Below are 23,133 nucleotides of genomic sequence, written 5' to 3'. Positions count from 1 at the left end.
GGCTATTATCAAGGAAAAAAAGACAGGATATGACAAGTGTTGGTGATAACAAGAGACAACAAATGTGGAGAAAAGGTAATCCTTGCACACTATTGGTGGAAATGTAAATTAGTACAGCCATTGTGGAAAATAGTATGGAGATTCTTCAAAAAATTAAAAATAGAACTGTCGTATGATCCAGCAATCCCACTTCTAGGCACATAGCCAAAGACAATGAAGTTAGTATGTCAAAGAGATATCTCCACATTATTTATAATAGCCAACATATTAAATCAACTTAAGTTTATCCATTCATCTGGATGGATCTGACAAATGGAATGGATAGAGAAAATGGGGGCATATGTACACAACGGAATATTATTTGGCCATTAAAAAAGAAAAAAAACTGTCATTTGCAAAAACATTTTTCCATAAGTTATTGGGGTACAGGTGGTATTTGGTTATGTAAGTTCTTTAGTGGAGATTTGTAAGAACCTGGTGCACCCATCACCTAAGCAGTATACGCTGCACCATATTTTTTGTCTGTTATCACTTCCCCCCAACTCCCTAAAGTCCATTGCATCATTCTCATGCTTTTGCATCCTCATAGCTTAGCTCCCACATATCAGTGAGAACATAAGATATTTGGTGTTCCATTCCTGAGTTTACTTCACTTAGAATAATAGTCTCTAATCTCATCCACGTCATTGCAAATGCTGTGAATTCATTCCTTTTTATGGCTGAATAGTATTTCATCATACACACACACACACACACACACACACACACACACATATATATCTCAGAGTTTCTTTATCCATTTGTTGATTGATAGGCATTTCGGTTGGTTCCATGACTTTGCTATTGTGAATTGTGCTGCTGTAAACGTGTGTGCAAGTATCTTTTTTGAATAATGATTGCTTTTCCTCTGGGTAGATACCCAGTAGTGGGATTGCCGGATCAAATAGCAGTTCTACTTATAGTTCTTTAAGGCATCGCCACACTGTTTTCCATAGTGGCTATACTAGTTTAGATTCCCACCAGCAGTGCAGAAGTGTTCCCTGATCACTGCATCCACACCAACATCTGCTGTTTTTAGATTCTTTGATTATGGCCATTCTTACAGGAGGAAGGTAGTATCACACTGTGGTTTTGATTTGCATTTCCCTGATCATTAGTGATGTTGAGCATTTTTCATATGTTTATTGGCCATTTGTATATCTTCTTTTGAGAATTACTGTTCATGTCCTTAGCCCACTTTTTGATGGGATTGTTTTTTTCTTACTGATTTGTTTGAGTTCATTGTAGATTCTGGATATTAGTCCTTTGTCAGATGCATAGATTGTGAAGATTTTCTCCCACTGTATGGGTTGTCCGTTTACTCTCTTGACTGTTTCTTTTGCTGTGCAAAAGCTCTTTAGTTTAATTAGGTCCCAGCTATTTATCTTTGCTTTTATTGCCATTGCTTTTGGGTTTTTGGTAATGAAATCCTTGCCTAAACCAATGTCAAGAAGGGTTTTTCCAATGTTATCTTCTAGAATAATTTTTATAGTTTCAGGTCTTAGGTTTAAGTCCTTAATCCATCTTGAGTTGATTTTGTATAAGATGAGAGATGAGGATCCAGTTTCATTCTCCTACATGTGGCTAGTAATTACATGAATGGACATGGAGAACACTATGTTAAGTGAATAAGCCAGACACAGAAAGACAAATACTGCATGATCTCACTTATATATAAGAACAATAATTTATTTCTTTCTGCAATTCACCCCAAATGACAATGCGTTTCACTCTCTTCACCATGTTCTTTCTTCTCTCCGCTTCCTTGTTATTTATTTTGATCTTTGTTGCTATTGTTTTCCCTTTTTAGTTCCATTTTTCTTCCTGAAATTTGGAACAAAGAAAAGAGCTGAAAGGGTTACAGAGAGAGGGAGAAGAAAGGATGGTGAGCAGGAAGTAGCCTGTGGTTCAGTGTCTTCATTCTATATATCTATGTCCTTCTTCAAAGGTGGCCCTAGAGAGAACCGAAAGGAGGCAACCATGGTTTCCAGCAGCTTCTTCCCTCACTCTTGTGGGGAAACATTGCCTGAAAAGACAGATGCCTCTTTCCTCATGAGGGAGCATTAGATTCTCTTTCTACCACCACCTGGACTTGTCCCTTAGGGGAAGAGGCTAATTTGATGGTGAGACTCAGAGAAAAGCCCGATAGTCATTGCACTGCAATAGATAAAGGGTGGGGCCAACTACATGAAGCCTCTGGCAGCAGTTCCTGTCACCACCTTTCTCATTCTCTGTCTTGAGTTCTTAGACTTTTGTTATTGGCTGAATAATGCCCTTTCCAAAGATTTCCAAATCTGAATCCCCAGAATCTGAGAATCTTTTACTTTACGTGGCAATAAAAGACTTTTCAAATGTGATTAAGTTAAAGATCTTGCCTTAGGGAGATTAGCTTGGATTATCTGTGTGTGCCCAATGTAATTACAAGGTGTTTATTTTTTGGTTTTGTTTGTTTGTTTGTTTTTTTAGAGACGGAGTCTTGCTCTGTCACCCATGCTGGAGTGGAGTGCAGTGGCACAATCTTGACTCACTGCAACCTCCACCTCCTGAGTTTAAGTGATTATCCTGCCTCAGCCTCCCGAGTAGCTGGGACTACAGGAATGCGCCACCATGTCTGGCTAACTTCTTTGTATTTTTAGTAGAGACAGAGTTTCACCATTTTGGCCAGGCTGGTCTCGAACTCCTGACCTCAAATGATCTGCCCGCCTCGGCCCCCCCAAAGTGCTGGGATTACAAGTGTGAGCCACCGTGCCCGGCCCTCAAGGGTCTTTAGAAGAGAGTGAGGCAAGAGGATTGAAGAAGTCCAAGAGGAGATGATATGATGATGGTAGCAGAGCGAGATGTGGAGCCAAGGAATGTGGGAAGCCCCATGAAGGAACGAGCTCTGCCAACACCTCGACTTTAGCCCACCCAGACTGATTTTAGACTTCTGACTTTTACAATTATTAAATGAGAAATTTTTGTTTTTTTAAACCACTAAGTTGGTGGTAATTTGTTACAGTAACAATAGGAAACAAATCCAACCTTCAAGAGCCTAGGCTTAGCTGATTCTTTCAGGCAGGCCCTAATTAGTGAAGCCAATACAGCTCCAGTTCCATTACCTAAACTAGTGGGCAAGTCAAGACTGGGAGGCTTCTAAGAGTTGGGTAAAGGAAACCCCACTGCATTCTGTACTCTAGCCATTCTGGAAAGCCCTTCTAAAGCTCATTCTTTCCCCTACTTTGTCCAATTCTCTGTGTTTATTCTCTGTCTGTCAGAACTCTGAAGGCAAGAGGTGTATGGTGGGACTTGAGTAGTGAATCCTAATCTAGATCACTAACATCTTGTTTAAACTTGCTTTTGGAGTCACCTTTATGAATTCAAGAACTAAAGGCCCCAGTTCCACTACTGCTCCCAGGCTTCCTCTCTCCAACTGCCTCAATCCTACTTTCACTTACTCCATGATTCAACAACATAACTCAATATTATATGCATTTATGGAGTGCCTTCTAGGGGCCCTGCTATATAGTAAACATTATGTTGTTATTGGAAAATGTATATGACGTCATGTTGGTTTTTTCTTCAAGGAAACACTTTCTAAGAGGACAAGTTTTACATATACGCAGACAGGGAATGTGCAAAGTATCTCTGGCTGTGTTACAAAATGAATAGTACAGACTATAAATGCTTTGTATTTTGTTAGAACTTTATTTATGATTGTAGTATTGATTATCTATTTTGTTACCTTAAATATTATTATTATTATTTTTTGGTGAGACAGAGTCTCACTCTGTCACCCAGGCTGGAGTCTAATTATGCTAGCGCAGTTCACTGCAGCCTCTGCCTCCTGGGCTCAAGTGATCCCCCAACCTCAGTCTCCTGAGTAGCTGGGACTACAGGCATGTGCCTCCATGCCTAGCTATTTTTTTTTTTTTTTTTGTAGAAACGGTATTTCACCATGTTGCCCAAGCTGGTCTTGAACCCCAGAACTCAAACAATACACCTGCCTTGGCCTCCCAGAGTGCTGGGATGACAGCATGACCCACAATGCCTGGCCTACCTAAAAGATTTAAAACAGCTTGACTATGATCACATAGTGCTTTACAAGTTATAGAGTACATTCACGTATATAGATGCTCCTCATCTTATGATGGGGTTATATTCTGGTAAACCATTGTAAATGGAAAACATTGCTAAGTCAAAAATGCCTAACCTATCAAACAAACATCATAGCCTACGTTAAACATGCTCAGAACATTACAGTTGGGCAAAATCACCTGGAAACATAGTAAATTTTAGGGTATCAATTGTTTCACGCTCATGACCATGGGGCTGTGGCTTGTGGGTTCTGCCCAGCATTGCAAAAACGTATCTTATACCTTTTGCCCCATTGTAAAGTTGAAAAATCTGGATTCAAACCATTGTAAATCAAGGTTTGTCTGTTTATTATTTTCACAATTCTGTGAGACTGGCATTAAAAATCCCCATCATCTGACAGATAAAGACAACTCAAAGGTCTGAGATGTTTACTTGGTTTCCCAAAGTTTTCGATGTAATGGTGGATGGAGTCTACAGTAGAACTCAGACCCTCTGGAGAGGGCCCAGCTCTGTCTTTTCTCAATTACATGTTAGAAATTTCATGTGACTCTTCCTGGCAGTTTGGTAGTGAGGTTGGGACATCTTCTTCACAGAGCGGAACATATTCACACCACAAGTCACCATCCTCCTTGTCTGAGTCACACAGCTTCTCATGGAAATTAGAAGGGACACAGGACTTGATCTACATGATCCTAATCCCTCTGGGAAGGCATTGATTGGGTTAAACAACTGGAATTTTGAACCATAATAATAAAGTAAAGTAATAAAATCTCAGTAAAGGTACACAATACTGAAAATCGATGCCAAATTCTCAAAAAACTCTGAACATAACAATAAAAAGTGCTAAAATAAAGACAAGCATGTCAAAACATAAACTTCAACTATTATTTAATTCACTGCCTTCTTATGTAATTAGGTCTCATGTACAGTACATCATGTTTTAAATATTATACACACAATGGAAAAGTCTCAAATTCCAGCCACTTACTTAATATGCACCTGAGGGAGATTTGCTGGCTACTTTTTTTCCCTGTCCATGCATTTCTTCTGCACTCAAACCCCATCGGCATCAGAAACAACCCCTGTGGTCGGCAAGGGAACACGAGCAGAACCTGGCCAATCACAGCTCTTTATTCATTCCTGTGATATAGTAATTGGTCCAAGAATGGACATGTGACCCATGAAGGGCCAACAAAAGTTTTTCTCTTTATATAAGCTCTTTGGGAAAGGATGCCCTCTTTAAGTTACAGTTAGTCAACTAAGAGGCAGCCAGACCACATCTTACCAGGAGCCTGGAGAAGCCTTCTGAGGAATGACGCCATGCGGGACAGGTAGGCAGAAGGCTGCCTGAAGAAGTGAGGAAAATCTTGGTGGTGTGAGGCCTTGTTCTAGTCCCTGCAGCAATTTCTTTGAACCTATGAACAACCTCAGAACAATCCCAGCCATTTATGCCAATAAGTTGTATCTTTTCCTTAAGGTGGTTTGTATTGGGAGGGAGAATAACCTGCCCACTCTGGGACAAAGAAAAAGTCAGGTTCCCTCCTTAGTTGTAGATAATCTGAGATGACAAATATTCAGACTTCAGGTATGAGGAGTGGAGAGACTCCATCAGGGCTTTGAATCCATCAGGACTTTAAACATTAGGCCTCATCTTTTCCTCTTATTTGAGCTACAAGAGTTTTCTATTTGTTAGGAAGATAAGATTTTCCTAAACTGAGGAGCTGATGGACAGAAGTAAAATGTGATGTCGGCCAGGCGCGGTGGATCACGAAGTCAGGAGATCGAGACCATCCTGGCTAACACGGTGAAACCTCATCTCTACTAAAACTACAAAAAATTATCCGGGTGTGGTGGCAGGCACCTGTAGTTCCAGCTACTCCGCAGGCTGAGGCAGGAGAATGGCGTGAACCAGGAGGCGGAGCTTGCAGTGAGCCAAGATCACGCTCCACTGCACTCCAGCCTGGGCGACAGAGCAAGACTCCACCTAAAAAAAAAAAAAAAAGGAAAATGTGATGTCAGGAAAAGTACAAATGGGGAAAACCTTATAGGAGACAAAGGAAAGAAGTGCTATTTCGAGTTTAATTCAACAGACTGAATTTTTCTAGATACTAGAGATTCAGTAGTTAGTAGTACATAACATAAAAAGTCACTACCATCAAATCCATTTTTAAAGTATCAGAAGTGATAAGTTCTGTAAAGAAACTTCCTTTGCTGTTGGTCAAGGAAGGACTGTCTAAAGAGGTTGTATTTAGGCTGACACCTGAAAGACAAGGAGACAGCTAGGTAAAAATCTTGAGAAAAGAGCATTCCTGGGAGAAGAAACAGCATGCAAAAGTCCTAAGATGGGGGAAGTTTGGCATATTTTAAGAGCAAAGAGAAGGCTGGTGTAGCTGGAAGGGAGTACAGTGTAGTACAGGGGTTTCTTCAGGCTCAGAACTGCTGACATTTTAGAGTAGATATTTTAAAGAAGTTGTAAATTTATCAATAATTGAAGATAGTATTAAATACCATGAATTAAGAGAATTAACAGAAAAACAAGAAATGTATAAGGTCTATGAGCATAAAACGTTAATGCACTCTTCAAGGACAAAAGAAATCATGAACAAATGCAAAGATGGAAAGTATGGACTAGGAAGACACAATATCGCAAAGACTCAAAAGAATGTAAATTCTCCAAAGTCAATCTGTAGCTTTAATATGATTTCAATATCAATACCAGTAGGATTTTATTCATGCACCTGGACAAAGTAATTATCAATTCATATGAAAATATAAACAAGTCAAGGAAAGTAAAAAACATTCTGAAAAATAAGAGTAATGAAGAAGAACCAGCCCTGTAAGATACTAAAACATATCATACAACCTAAATAATTATAGTATTGTGATACAGGCTCAAGAAGAGGCAACGTTGTAACAAAATAGAATCCACTCATATAAACAAATGCCAAGGGTAATTTAATAGAAAATGAAAGTGGTATTTTAAATCAATGAGAAAAATACTAAGAATTAAATGATATTGGGGTAACTGGGTTAGCCATATAGAGAAATATAACTTAGATCTAAACCAGCACTTTATATAAGAATAAATTCTCAATAGATCAATTATTTAAATGTACTTGTAAAAAATTCTTAAAACTATTAGGAAAATATAATAATAATGGAAGAATTATTTATAATCACAAAGTGTAGGAGACCTTTCTACTTAAAAACAATACCCTAAAGCCATAAAAGAAAAGAAAAAATTGAAAAAGTTGACTATATAAAAATTTTAAATAAATATTCATGGAGAAATCACTATGAAAAGATCAAAAGAAAACAGACAAACTCAGAAAATATATTTGCAGTCTTATTACAAAAGGCTCATTTAACATATTAAGAGCTTCTACCAATCGATAAAAGATCAACAATCCAGTAGAAAATTTGGTCGTTTATATACCATTTCTCACTTTAATATTGAACCATCTGAATATATTACCTTTCAAAAGACATAATAAAACATAAAAGTAGAGATTTTTTCTGACTACTATTGTGTTATATCTTCAATAAGGACTATCACACTTAGATATTGAGTTGTATAAGTGAGTGTCTCTGTGGAAGCTGATAAATGTTGAGTTTTACAGCTGAGTTGATACAGTATGAATATTAGTGTATGCACAATATGCAAAATCCATCTGCAACCCGAAGAAGCTGTTCAAAGGCAGAGGTAATTGTAAGAATGTAAACCCATTACACAACAACCCTTCCCCATCCTCACCTACAACTGTTAAATTGACAGAAATTTGAGGGAAAGTTTTAGACTTCTGGTAGGGGTGGGAGGGGCAAAACTAAATACTTAGGAAGTCTTAGTTCTTAAGTGGTAGAGTAATCAGGTGACATTTGGGTTATTAAAGAATAAAGCAAAGAACTAGAAGTAAAAAAAAAATCTAGATTCAAAATCAATCTGTGCTGGCTGATATGATGAATGGGCACAAAATCAAATGATAGGAATATCTGAATCTCCACAGTAACACAAGTATCTAGCACAGGGCCTGGAAGAGACAAAAGACTCAATACTCATCGCTTCACTTACCTTTCTCATTTGGATATTGGTTTTGTTGATATGACTATCTCACCCACATTAGGAACAATCTGAAACACGTTTATTAGTTGCTATTTGATGGGGAAAAAAAAATCACACGGCTTAAACAAAAGAAAGTAGTATTTCCCTCTAACGTTAAAAAAAAAAAAAAGTTCAGATTTATAAGTCCTGGGCTGGTAGGGATGCTCCATTGCTGTCACCAGGAACTCAGGTTCTTATCGTTCTGCTTACCATGTTAGAACACGGCTTCCATGTTCAAAGTCACTTCCTAGTTCCAGGCAGTTGCTGGAGCTCCAGCTATCAAATCCAGTCTTCATATAATTAGGAATGAAATAAGACAGGCACACAAAAAAAGTACATACTATGTGTGGCAGTTATTGATTTATTGCCTCTCAGCTCCACATCTACTCTTTGCCCTGCCTTTGTGATACTAGCACTTGACCCTATAAACATTCTCCTTAGCCAATTTACTCAATATTAGGCTTGTCCAAAAATGGCCGTGGAGGATCACTGCAAATCTGCAGCAAAAACGGCTTTCCCTGATGGCTCCACGATACTGTTTTTGGTGTGTCCAGCAGCTGGCAGATTGGCATTTGAGTTGCCCAGTAGTGCTCACTCCAGCAGCCCCCACAAATCCATGCAGGGCTGTGCCCTCCAGCAAATTCCTCCATCAACAGGCAGGCCACTTCTATGGGCCAGTTCTAGTTCACACCTTCCAGAAAAGTTCTTGGCCATAGCAGGCTGCCTGTTCCCGTGACAACTAAACCCTCTCCAACCAGGTACAAATGCCAGGGGTGAGAGTACAGCCTTCTTTAAATTCCTAGTTTCTTATTGACCACTCTCAGATCTAAATGCAGTTTGTTTTGCTACTTTTGTCTTCCTTCTAATCCTCTCTTAACCATTTTAGTGATTAACTATTCCTTCCTGTTTAATGATTCTTTATATTAATTTTTCCCTGTTCAAATTAATGATATTGTTTCTGTCTCCTGATGAGACCTTGGCTGATAAACTGTATGATTCTGTTTACATGAAATTCAAAATCAAGCAAAACAAATCCAACTTTTTCCCCTGGGAACGTTATTGACAGGGATAGTCATAAGGGAGGTTTCTGAGGTTCTGGAAATATTTTATATTTTAATCTGGGTAATGGTTTCCCAAGTATATGTGCATGTGAAAATCCATTGACTTACATGATTAATGTTTGTGCACCTTCTCTATATAAATTATTATTATTTCTCAATCACAAGAATAACAATGTATGTTGCAAGCTAGAAGAGAAGGTAAATAGATGGTCAAAAAGAGAATCTTGTGTAGCTGAAACAACCCCTTTTAAGAAGTTCCCCAGTAGTATCACACTGCAGTTACTCTTAATGCCACAGACTTGAATAAAATCCCATGGCCATAACTAGCTGCAAGAAGGGTTCAGTGGCAATATGCCTATATAAAATCAGGGCTCTCTAAAGTAGGGCTAAAGGAAAGAATGGATGCTGGTGTAGGCAACTAGCAATCTCTGCCACAATAGGTGTTCTATTAAATTACCAAATATTTATTCAGTGATAGCCACAGTACTAAGGCCTGAGGATATAGCAATTAACTAAATCGGCAGGGCTCTTGCTTTCATGAAAGTTATATTTTAACACTTGACTCTTAGAAGACGATAAAAAAATGTTTGGCGGATAAGTAGGTGAATGATGAGGAAATGAGTGAATGGATAAGCAGTAAATAAATACACAAACATATAAATATCATTGTTTCAATGGGACTAAATCACTTAGGGAACTGCAAGCACAACTATAATCTTGAGAAGAATATATGCCCCACTAGGAAGATGTAAAGGGCGGGCACGGCTGATGTATCATACCAGAGAAGCTTAAGCTATAAGTCACCCCATAGAAGTGAATTATCAGTGGAGGACAGAGCTGTATTTCCTTTATTGATTCTAGATCAATTTGTCACCTTTTTCAGAGCCCAGTTGGAGTTTGAGATCTCCCAGATATATGGTTTAAAATATAATGATGAAGAAAGGCATCAGCTAAAACGCACATAACCAAATTCCAGAGAAACACATGCTGCCCCTGAGTGGTAAGAAAGCATTTACAAACCAAAGGCTTCTCAGAAAACAGTTCACCTTAGCTGAGATTTTTTGAGCCTCAAGCTTGGGTTTTGCCACAGAAGGCTCTGTGCCTTTTTCAGGGTCCCTTGAGACACTTTTTGGATGCTTATCACTGCAAAGCACATATACACAAATCTCCTTTAAAGCTCTGAACTGGACAAGACCCACTGCCTGCCTTGAGCGTAAGAAATGAAAACCAAAATGGGGATACCAGTAGAGAGGACAGAGTGGGGCTGGATTTTGAGGAACAAATGCTCACAGGATGATGAGAGGAGAAGAAAGAAAAAGCCTAAAGTAGAATTGTCATTTCAAATATCAGGAGTAGCCAGGCAGGGTGGCTCACACCTACAATCACAGCATTTTGGGAGCCCCAGCCAGGAGAATCACTTCAGCCCAGGAGTTTATGACCAACCTAGGCAACATGGTGAAACCCATCTCTTCAAAAAATACAAAACTTAGCAGCCCATGGTATGCACACCTGTAGTCCCAGCTATTCAGGAGGCAGAGGTGGGAGGATTGCTTGAGCCCAGGAGGTTGAGGCTGCAGTGAGCCATGGTCATGCCATTACACTCTACCCTGGGCAACAGAGCAAGACCTTGTCTTGATTTTTAAAAAAATATATCAGAAGCACATAACCGAAGATAAAAGTCTGCGTAGGTGGGTATGTCAAAGGTGGTAGAATGGAAACACACAGATATTGGCTGTCATGTTCTTTTTACAATGGCACTGAAATCCTGTATGGGGCTGTTTTTCTAAATTAGACAGAGGATTTAATTACAAAAAAAAGCCCAAGAGGACAGTGCTTCTGCATCTTAATTTTGTAGCTATGAGCGATGACCTCTCCAAACCCGTTTTGTCAACCATAAAATGGAGGATTGTAATACATAACCTGAGTGGCTGGCAAAACAATAATACAATTCCTTTGAGAAAAATTAAATATAATTAAATTTTATCTGCCAGATAGGTACCTATTCTTTAAAATAAAAGTTTAAAAATGAATCATAAATCATTGCCATTTCCTGCCTGGAAATCAGAAGTTCTAATAGGAGCTATTTAATAGGTGCCTGGCATGTAATTTTTATTCACACCAGACCTTCTGTACGTTTAGTCAATTCATTTTATAATGAGATGGAAATGTTCCTGTGATAATACCCAACTGTAATGGAAGAGTTTGTAATAGGATGCTATGGTATACAGAATACGGAATCATGCTCTTATTTATTTATTCACTTATTTACATATACCCTGACTCATTCTTTAAAAAAAGAATTTGAGATGATTGCAGCAGAAACACAATAACATGATCAAATATAAATGAAAAAAGGAAAAAAGAGTATCAGGGCAAAGATAAATTAGAAGAATAGGTCATGACATTGAGAAAAATAAGAAATGTATTCTGTAAGGGATTACACAGTTGCTATAATTTATTTCTGAATTTGTTTCTGAACTTTCCTGAAACAAAGACAAAATGAAGAGATAGAGGGTTACATAGCTTTGTTTGTCTAATGTCAAAAAGAAAATCATACAAAATTATCAGGAAGATGAGGAACCCAATAATTTGAATTGTGGACTAGGCGTTATCTTCTTGGGTAAGGCATCCAGTGTTTCAGGGTATCTTTGATTCTTCACAAGATGACTGACCAGATGATTGAGTTTTAATTAATTTTGTGAGTGGAAGTGATATGTGCTCCTTTCAGATCAAAACTGTCCATGAGTGACCTCCTCTGCATTCTCCCATTACCAGCTACTAATTAATTCTCAGAGTTTCTTAGGTTGCATTAGGTTATAAGCAGACTCTGAAATGGAGGTTAGACTCTGAGCTAGATTTTTATTAGGGAGTGTGTTGGGATAAATACCCATGGGAGGGAGAGGAAAAGCAGGATTGGGCAGAGGAACAAGTCGGGCTGTGAAGCAGACCTGATGAGAAGCTTGGATACCCCATGGGCACTCAAGAGCTAAAACAGCCCATCGAAGCTGAGCTTACTAGTCTCTAGTTGTGGGCCACTCTAGAAAGTGACCACAGGTATGGCAGTTCTCTATAGTAGAGGCAATCCTGAAAGGAGATGACATCTGAAGGCATGCCCTACAGCTGGGGCAGCAAGTATCTTTTTGAAGGGTGATGAGGTGGTGAATCTTTGTATCCACACCCAGGGCAACCTTGAAAGTCAAAAGCTAAGCATGGCCAAGTCCAGCACACAACCCCCACCCTCTACTCTGTTGCCCCCCACCCTCTACTCTGTTGCATTGAACCACTGAAATTTTAAGGTTTAGCTGGAACAGCAGCTAGTATTGTATTATGTAACACACACAGACACAATCTTTAGGACATGCTCAGCACTTGAATAAAAGACCACCTCTGTAGTGAATTGGTAAGAGAATGCATAGTTCTACTTTGTTAAATTGAGTGTTAGCGTAGAGCCTAATCAGAGCTGTGAAGTTGACAAAAATTGTCTCCATGCCACAACCTTTATGCTTTCAACCTTTATTTTGTGACTTTCCCACCTTTCCATAATTTCCACTATTAGCCCCTCCCCAACTTATTTCATAAATTTATATCCTTATGCTCTTCACACTTGCTGTCTTGAAAAAGAGAGTCTTGTATTATCTTCATAAACTCAGCACTACTTCTAATAAAAGTTATAATTTTTTTCTAGAAAAAAATGGATTTTGAATCCCAGAAACGAAGGGATGTAAAACTGCAAGTAATGTGAAATTTCACACACATGCTGGGGGAGGTGGAGGAAATTTGAGGATATGAGGAATCCGATCAATTTACCAGAAGGGTATACACTGTCTTGTAAGAGCAGCCCCCTTTTCAACTACATAACTCCAAGCCTGTGTCCTCTCTGGTCTCAGGCTACACCACACTAGGAATTAAAATGTGGCCAATTCATAATACTTATCCATGATTTGCTCATTCTTAGCCACAGCTCCTAACACGCTTCCCGTATCTCAGAAAATTCTCTCTGGGAATCTCTGAAGTCATGTAGGAATTCTCAAGTGACCTTTTCCTACTCTTCTGCTTTAATCTCATCACTGAAGTTCATTGCCCAAGAACCCACCTGGTGCATGCATGTCTCATGGCTACAGCCCCAGTGTCACCATGGAATCTGGCGTTCTTGGCAAAGATGCTGTCTTTAGGAGCTGTCCAAGTGCCTCGAGGTGTCAGTGTGAAGCAAACAATCAGAATCATCTCTAGTTTGGAGCTGCTGCTCCATATGGAAGGAATGAGAAAGCCTCCCCAATTCTCAGGTTCTTGAGTGAACACTGCTGTTTTACCCTCCTATCCAGAAGAATCCTTGTAAAAATAGTGCCTCATGAGAAATACAGCCCCTCTTTCCATAGATTTCAGTTCTCAGTTCTTAGAATTGAATCAGCTAGATTTGGCTGGGCTGGGCCAAGAAGGGGACCCTATCAACTGTGAGATGGAGACCCAGGAAGGGGACCCACTCCAAGCTGTCTCTTTTGTCAGCAGAGGAGAAAGCTCTCTAACCCTCCTTTCACTAAAAAGCCTCATTCAGATCATGCCACTGCACTCCAGCCTGGCAGACAGAGTGAGACTCTGTCTCAAAAAAAAACAAAAAACCCCTCATTCAAATGGACTCCTGGCAGCAGCCCTGCTAGTTGATGTACAGTCATATCTAAATCCCAGTTAAGGGTTAAGCTGTGACTTCTATTACATATAAAAGTAAATTTAAGAAATAGGGTAGTAATATGAATAGCATTACACATATACTAATGACTAACATTTATTGAGGCTATGTACTAATCACTCTAAGTACGTCTTCAGCATTTTCTGATTTAAACACTATCAAACTCTGCAAAAGATATTATTCTTTTTTCTACATTATAAAAAAGGAAACTAAGGTAGAGAGAGTTAAACAACTGTCCAAGTTAACACATCTAGGAATTTTCTGAGCCTGGATATGAAACCTAAATATGAAGCTCACAGCCACTGTCCTCTGCACATGGTCACCAGGGACTGACTTTCAAGTTGCATGCCCTGCTGAGTGCTCTTTTATTATATGTAGCTAGGCAGAATCTATAGCTCTTGGATAACCCTTTTGATCTTGTACAATTTTAAACAGATATGACAAAGACCACTTGAAGCCAAGGTAATAATAAGGAATTCTACCAAGGACAGAATTTTTTCTGGGTAGGCAACTGTGTGATTAGAGGCACCCCTATCCACTCACTCTTTTCACAGAGTCTAAACATCTTTTAGTCTCAAAGTCTCTTGAATCTGAGACCCTCATACAAAGGACAGTTAACTACATAACAAAGATTCTGTTTTTGAGGGATACCAGGAGATACTAAGATGGGAAAATACATGGGAAATGTCAGGTAACCAAAAGACAGGGAGTGTCCAAAATAGGCTGTATTGTCTTGCCCAAGGTAAGCCCTGATCCTGGACTCATACAGGTGTGTGCTGCTATTCACACTCTTGGGGCTTACCAAAGTCAGTTGCTTCTTTTCAATTCCCATGCTATTGTCGTCCCTGCAGTATTTGACACCCCCTTTTCCTTTACTCTTTTTCCCAAAACTCCCTTAATATTAGAGTGTTAGTCAGCTTTTGTTGCACCTGCAAACAACCCCCAAATCAATGGCTTTCAAAACCCAATATTTATTTCTTGTTCACATTGCATGGGACCTGCAGATTGGCTATAGCCTTGGCAGGGATCCATGTGTCTTCTCATTTTGGAACCCATGATGAAGGATTAGCCACCATCTGGCCCATCCTCTTGTCACAGTGGATGATAGGAACAAAAGAAACAGAGACATTGCATGCACAACAATTAAAGCTTCTGCTCAGATATGGTGTGTGTCATGACTGGTAAGCATCCGTTGGCTTAAGTGAGTACACTTCCTCTTCAGGGGTGTGGAAATGGACATGAGCAGAATGAATGATGGGAAAATTGTAGGATGAACAATAACTGGGTCTCCTCCAATTTCTCTGACTGTGCCTGAGTCACAGAAGCTGGTTCTTCTCTGTCTGAGCCTCTCAAAATGCTGCATGCTCTTGAGTTCTGTCCTTGCTGCCTTTTCCTCTCCCTCTGCCTGTTTTCCTGAGTCCAGCCTGTCCATATCTGTGGTATCAGCTGCCAATATCTCTGCATCTACATCTTTAGTTCCACTTCTCTCCTTGACTTTAGGCCCACTTTCCCTATATATTGAATACTTCTATCTAAATATCTTTCCAATACCACAAACTGAAGTTATACAAAAACTAACTTATTATCTGAATGTCCTGAATTGCCTATTACCACCTCATGAATACAAAGTATTGACTGTTCTTTTTCCTTCTCTCCCTAAATCCAGTCATCGCAATAGCCTCATTTGTCTTCCCCACCCCGCTATCCCTGCCCTTCCAGTCCCTATACACCCTTATTGTCCTGTCAGTAGTAAGCCACTTATAGTGGGCTTCCAATTGGTGTCTCCTGCCCCAGATTCTTCCAGTTTAAATTCCTACTCCGTACACCTGTCAAAGTGATCATCTTAAAGCATGAAATAATCATAGTATTCCTACTTGATGGTCCTTTGGCCACCCTCTGTCAGTGCAGCTGAAACTGTTGGAACCACAGGAGTCCACACAGGTGCCTCACAGACCAACAAGGGGGAAAGGGTGGAAATTTATTCTCTCCTGTCTCTTAGTTTAGCCAAGGAAGCTCCAGTATAGCTAGACACCCTGTGCATGATTTGAATAAAGGGGTCTTGAAATATCAAGCCAATAGACAAACATAAATACTTTGACAATTCCTCACCTGCAGAATATTAAAAAAAAAATCTTAAAGTTGTACACTTCATAGTCAGGCTTCAGTCTCCTTCTCTAACCTCACCTTCCACCATGTTCTCCACCAATCCCATCTCATACACACACCATCCCTGCCAGGACAGCAGCCACACTTGAGACACTCAGTGTAGTTCTCTTGGCTGGAAATGTCCTTCCCTCGGTTCTTTTAATTCCATCCACCAAGATGACTTTTACTCATTCACCCTTTTAGACATCTAGTTTACACCTTCTTTTCTCTCTTGAATGTCCAGTATCTCTCTTTCAGCAGTTGATCACCTTGCATTATATTTCACTGGGAAAATGTAAATATAAAATAGGGCTTCCACACACTACCATCCCAACATCTACCTACCTACCTGCACCTATACCCATGTGCTTGCCTTCTGTTCTGTTTGTATTGGTACCAGTTTGTGCTCCTGTCTAAGGCCAGCTCCTCCAGCTATGTACCTGATCCCACCTCCTCTCACTTCATCAAAAGCATCTTCTTCAGCAATTACCCTCACTCTCCTAGATTATCACAGTTTCTTCTCTGCTCTATCATTTCCATTGAGACACAAATACAGTAAAATTTCTGCCAGCTTTACAAGTCCATCTCTAGTCCCATGGCCTCCCATGACCATTATCTTTCCTTTTAAAACAAAACTCTGTAGAAGAGTCTCCTAATTCACTATCTCCTCACTCCCTCTTCCATTATCACTTAAGCTACTGCAAGAATTCCTTTCTTCTCACCTATCTCCAAACTACTCTGTCAGTCACTCCAAACTACTCTATCAATCACCAAGACTTTCACCTTGCAAAATCCAACAGTAGTTCATATCCCTCATGTTACTTGACCTGTTAACAACACTTACATTGATAACTTCTTCCTGTTGAAACATTTCTCACTTGCCTTCTGGCACATTATTCTCCTGCCCCTACAGGATTAGCCCCTCTTTCTAAGTCTCTTTTGAGGATTCTTCCTCATTTTTCTGATATGTAAGTAAGTGTGTGGAGTGCCCAAACTGTCCTAGGTGATTGCATCTGATCTCACAGTTTTGAATAACACTTTTCAGCATCAAAGATATTTATAATAGCCTTCAAGGCCCAACATGATCTGGCTCCCATTGCCTTTCTAAGATCTAACACTCCCCCAGATCTTCTGCCCCAGTTTTCCCCAGAACAGTCTTCAGTATTCCTTGAACATGGCATTCGGCTCTCCCCTTAGGGCCTTTGGGCTTGTTGCTTCCTCAGTCTTAAAGGTTTTTCTCCAATATGCATATGGCTCACTTTTTTTCCCAGTCTATGATCAAATATTGTCTTATCATGATGCTTTCCCTAAACACCCAGTGTAAAATAGCAATAATCCCCCTATAATCCAGCATTCAGTTCATGATTTTTTTGTTCTATTTTGGTCCTTTCTATTACATTAATCAATTTCTGACACATTATATGTATTTATTAGTTGCATATTTGTTAATCATCTTGTCTCCCTCCTTGAGGGCAGGGGATACATCTGTTTTGTAACTCCTTTATACACAGCTCCAAGAATGGTGCTGGACATGTGAAATATTTTTTACATAAATGTACAAATAATATATTCTTTTTCTTCTTAAACATTCTTGAGTAGATTCTGATTTATGCTACAGTACAGGATGATAAAGGCTGCTACTCTCCTGGAAACTTATACAGCCTAGAAATGCAAGCTGCCAGTTTCTAGGCCTGCCTTTGATTGTTCGAGGTCCTATCTGACCCCATCCTTAAGCTAATTTTATTACAGCTATTTCTAGATATTTTATTTAAAACAAGTGCCCTGAGATCTCTAAAGGGTGAGGAACATTTTTTCAATAATAAATAAATACTTAATGTTTCCAAAGAATCTACATGGATTTAACTGAAACTCTTTTAAATAAAAAATAAATAATAATTGAAATCAAAGCTATATAGTTGACTTTCAAAAGTTAAAGCTTTATTGCTGATCCCTATGGTGTTTGAGCTTTGTGCCACCTTTCAGAGAAATCTCACTGATCCCTTAAAGAAGGAAAGTTGGAGCCCAAAAGGATCATCTAGATATCTTTGGTACAGGGCTCATTTATAAAATTCTAAGCACAACTCAACCTGTCCAACAAGGCAAGTAGTGAGGCTAGTTTTCTAGAAAGATGCTTGGAGTGACCTCTTGTCCATTCTCTTTTACTGCTGTCCAGCTTGCCTTTGAGTATAATGTCCTTTTGGTTCCCTACTACAGGGTCTATGTCTAGGATTTAGCATTCCCTCCTCACCCCTTAGAATATGTACAGTTCCCTCTAAACTGTCCAACAGAATAGCCACTACTCACCTGTGGCTACTTAAATTAAAATTAACTAAAAGAAAATAAGATTTAACATTCTGTTTTTCAGTTGCACTAGTCACATTTCAAGTACTTGGTAGCCACATGCGGCTAGTGGCTACAACACACAATATTATAGAACATTTCCATTTTCCAGAAAGTTCCATTGGATAGAACTTCTCTAGACTCTCAAGATCCATCTTCTGGAATCCTAACTGATTTTTCAATATGTTCATTCTTCAGCTTTTGCCTCAGATCACAATTCTCACTCCAGCTTCAGCCTCTGAAGCCATAATACTGGGCTTAGTCAGTCCCTAAGTCATAACAAGATAGTGATAGTGCCAAATCTGTTCTCAGATCTCCATATACATTTAAGTGTGTACATTTACATTAAGACTAGTGATGACCTTGAAGTCACAGGTTGCTAGAAGAGAATGTGTGAGAAGTACCAACCAGAGGGGATCTACTGCATAGGAGAAAGGGCAAAGCACCATGTCTGGAGGAAACAGAAAGAAATTAGTACATTCCAGTAAAACTATGCAGATGACAAAACCTCCAGGAAGGAGAGAGATCAATCAAGGAAATAAAACATGTAGGAAGATGGAACAGTTTGCATCCTTGTAATCATATGCAAGTAATAGAAACCTGACCAAATAGAGGTAAAGGTTTTGCTTACATCTGGATTGTGCATAGTTCATTAACTGAGCTATAGTAGTTAGGCCCCTAATTTATGGTAGCAGTGCTATTATGGGGAGAAAAACAAAAATAGTAACTGGAGTCAGGGACATTCTTTGGGCAAAGGCCTGGAGAGCAGTTTTGGCCAGATTTGTGCTTCTAAGCAAGTCATGAAAGGGAAGAATATGACTAATATATAACAAGATTGACTCCTTCCTGGGTTAGACAGAGTTACTGGGTAAAGTTTAGAACTATTGCTTAGAAAGAAAACCAGGATACCCAGGAGCCCAGGCTGGGAGAGGGCTAATTGCTCAGTCTCCCCGAGAAGCACTGATCAGGTTTTCAGCGTGCTATTGGCAGATTCACCTCAGATTGCTCTCCTGACATTTATTTAAGTCTTGCTCTGTCACCCAGGCTGGAGTGCAGTGACACAATCTCGGCTCACTCTAGCCTCCACCTCCTGGGTTCAAGTGATTCTCCTGCCTCAGCCTCCTGAGTAGCTGGGACTACAGGCGTGCACCACCATGCATGGCCAATTTTTGTATTTTTAGTAGAAATGGGGTTTCACCATGTTGGCTAGGATAGGAGGTCTGTCTCCTGACCTCATGATTTTCCCGCCTCAGCCTCCCAAAGTGCTGGGATTACAGGCGTGAGCCACCGTGCCCGACCTTTCCTGACATTTAATATCACTGAGACAGGAGGGCACACCAGGGCCCAGGAATAGAACAGTGGTGCCAATCAAAGGGATTTGCTTTTAAAAAATAACAAGAAATAAAGCCTTAATGAAGGAGTAGGTTTTCTGTTTAGAATGCCAGGCATCATGGAGGGGAGGAATTGGCGATTCTGACTTCGTGAAATCATATTACTAAGTCTACTTCTAAGCTCTAAACCATCCACTTCCCTCCCAACCCCCAGAGAGGGAGAGAGCCGAGCAATTATGCTGACCAGTGAAGTCATTCTACTAGTGGGTGTTTTAAAAAACGAGTTAACAGAGGCCATAAATACCCCAGTATGCTTTAAATTCAAGCAACATGTTTCAATAAAGCCAAATTTTTATATCATTGCCAGCATCAAATCAGTAGACTAAATGCTGCAAATGGAATTCAAACTATTAAAAAAATGACAAAATATGTGGCTAAGTCTTTGTATGAAATAAATTAGAAATTCTTTTCACCATAATGTACAAGCCATTCTTGCTCTGGGCCAGTATCTCTAATCTGTGCCGAATTTCTTTGAGACGTGTGGATACCAAGGCAGAAGAAAAGGGAAAAATGGTGCATGCCTTAAAAATCTTCAATGCTCTGTAAGACTCAGTTCCTTCATTTCAAAAACCTGGAAAAAAATTACTGATTTTCTGAGAAACAAGCAGGCAAGGATCAGCTAATTTCTTGAGGCAACTAATGGCTTTGTTATTTGACATTTCTGAAGGTCTTATCACGTACTCAATATACAGAACACTTCCCAATGGTGAGCAATGAACTAAAAGCAAAATGCAGAAGGGAGGTGAAACATTACCCTGGGCTGAAGAACTTTGAATGTGTCTGAACTGGTTTGCGTGGATGAGGTAAAGATATCATCATTCTGATTTCTGTCCTCCCTTTCTGGTCTCCAGGTGGACTTCCTGAGCCCTGAGAAGCCGTTTGAATGAGGATAAAGGCACAAACCCTTCACGTATGAAGCACTTACTATGGAGGTGATGTTGTACTAACCTCCTATGACTTCTTTACAACAATCTAGAGGCGTAGGTATTATTTAGTATTCCCAGTTTTCAGATGCAGCAAGTTAGGTAATTCATTCTAGGTTGCACAGCTTTATAGAGTGGAGTTGGATTCAAATTCAGGTTTCATTTTTTTTTTCATGGAAATTAGAATGATCCTCATTGTAAACAACATATAGGAACATATTTCTTAAACTCAAATCTCTGAATAATTCTCACAAAATGCCACTCGAAAGAGTTTTGTAGTTTAAGAATATGCTTCCATATATTTGCTTATAATGTGAACTTTTCCCAGACATTATATAAAGGGAGGCAAATGAAGAATTAAATAGAACTTGGTGCTGCACAGGAAGACAGGCATATGTAGTATTCTTGGACCTCTGCCGAGCTGCCTCCCAAAGTCACAAGAATTCTTAGTCAAAAATTGTAGACTTTCTGGATGCTCAGGGAGTTAACCTAAATGAAACCTGAACATTTTATTCCATAAAGGCATAAAAGCAAGTGAATGAAATGGGTCTGCACAGTTCTGGACCTGCAAGCACAAAAACATGCTGCCTAGCACTTAGAATTGACTTACCTCCTACTGGTGCAAGAAAAAGGGTTCCTTATAGCATTGCTTCTAAAAGCAATATCCTATAGGCCATTGTGACCTAAGGGAAGAGAAGTAGAGAGTCTGCTGTCTTCCATGTGGCAAAATGAGATCTCCGAGTTACTTTCAGCAAGAGAATGGTTACAGAAGCTTTCGCTCACAATTGGCTACCGTTCAGCAAAAGTTTCCAGAAAATATCTTAAAGGAGGCAAAGAAAATAGCCTAAGAAAACAGTGGGAAATACATCGTGACGTGGCAAACTGCACTCACGACTCAATAACTTTTTAGCCTTTCCTCAAGGCAAATAGTTCAAAAGATTGCTTGCTATTATTTGTAGCTGCTGGGATGTAGTTTCCCGCTTTGTGTGTCATCACAGGTAGCGATTGCCAAGAGGGAGAGTTAAATAAAATAACTTGTCAAAAGCTAATGCATGACTCAAGCATGGAAAGTTCTAGGGAGTGAAATTCCAGAAACAGAAAATCTTCCCTTAGGGAAGACATTTCCCATCAGATTTGCAGAGATGTGACCCAATATTGAGTGTCTAATATATGCTAGGTGCTTTATAAATAAAATTTAACCCTTTTAATTTAATCTCACAACGGCCATGGGAATTACCCATTATCATCACTTTACATGTGAGAAAGCTAGGCTCAGAGGGTTTTACAAAATTGCCAAGGTCACAGAGCCAGTTAAGTTACAGACATGTTTTCTGCTCGTTTGTTTTTTTTATTTTAAAACTTGTTTTGAGGTATAATGCTCATTTAATAAAGTCTATAAACTGCACTAGTCTTAAATGTACAACGAGTGAATTTCTACATGTGTATATGCTCAAGTAGTCACCATCTTGTTCAAGAGTTAGAGGAGTATTTTCACATTGCAGGAAGTTCCTTCTTGCCCTTTTTTTATTCAAAATGCACACAAGAGGTACCCTCTAGTCTACTTCTATAAACATGGATTAATAAACATGGATTAATTATGCCTCTTCTTAAACTCTGTATGAATGTAGCCATTGTGGTTTGCCTGAAGCTGAGGGGTTTTTGGGAGGTGGATTTCTCAGTGCAAAAATGAGAGCAATTGGTCACTCTATAAATGGGAATAGTGTGTGCTCTTTTGTGTCTGGCTTCTTTTGCTCAACATAATGTCTGTGAGAGTCATCTAGGCTGAAGTGAGGTTTTGTTCTTTTTATTGCCATGTATCATCCCACTGTATGACTATTCCACAATTTATTTATCCATTTTTATCCATTATCCTGTTGACATACATTTGGGATGTTTCTAGTTTTGGGATTTTATGACTAAATCTAGGAACATTCTCATATAAGTCTTTTTGTGAATGTGATTACTCAATTCTGCTGGGAGCAGAACTGCTAGGTCATAGGTAAGTATATATTTAGCTTTAGTGGATTCCACCAACGTTTCCCTACAGGGCTGTACCAATTTACACTCCTATTAGCAATTTATGAGAGTTTTGGTAGCTCCACATCTTCATCAATATTTAGTATGTCATTAAAAGTAATGACATACTAAATGTGCTAGACTGCTATTATAGATATTCATTCCTTTGTGTATCCCTTTCCCATACTGTCTTGCCCTTGGCTGCATGATTCGCTGTAGCCAATGAGACATTAGCAAGTGTGACATGAACAAAAGTTTGATAAACCTTGGACACTGGGACTTGTTCTTTTGGAACACTCACTAAGGCAGACTTGATTCACCATATAAAGATATCTGGCTGTGCTGCTTAAAAGACCCCATG

The 23,133-nt window shown here is 39.4% G+C and overlaps 1 long non-coding RNA gene across 1 annotated transcript; it reads right to left on the bottom strand.

Annotated features, from left to right (window-relative positions):
* Positions 1-1,703: 1,703 nt before the first annotated feature.
* Positions 1,704-5,918, bottom strand: LOC105370195 (uncharacterized). The gene is made up of 2 exons (XR_941947.1): positions 5,399-5,918; positions 1,704-1,863 (listed from the first exon to the last, which is right to left on the bottom strand). It is a non-coding gene; the product is annotated as an uncharacterized LOC105370195 (long non-coding RNA).
* Positions 5,919-23,133: the final 17,215 nt, after the last annotated feature.

The sequence above is a fragment of the Homo sapiens genome, chromosome 13, assembly GCF_000001405.40.
Source record: "Homo sapiens chromosome 13, GRCh38.p14 Primary Assembly".
Classification (NCBI taxonomy): domain Eukaryota; kingdom Metazoa; phylum Chordata; class Mammalia; order Primates; family Hominidae; genus Homo; species Homo sapiens.
This window is presented reverse-complemented; position numbering and strand designations above follow the sequence as displayed.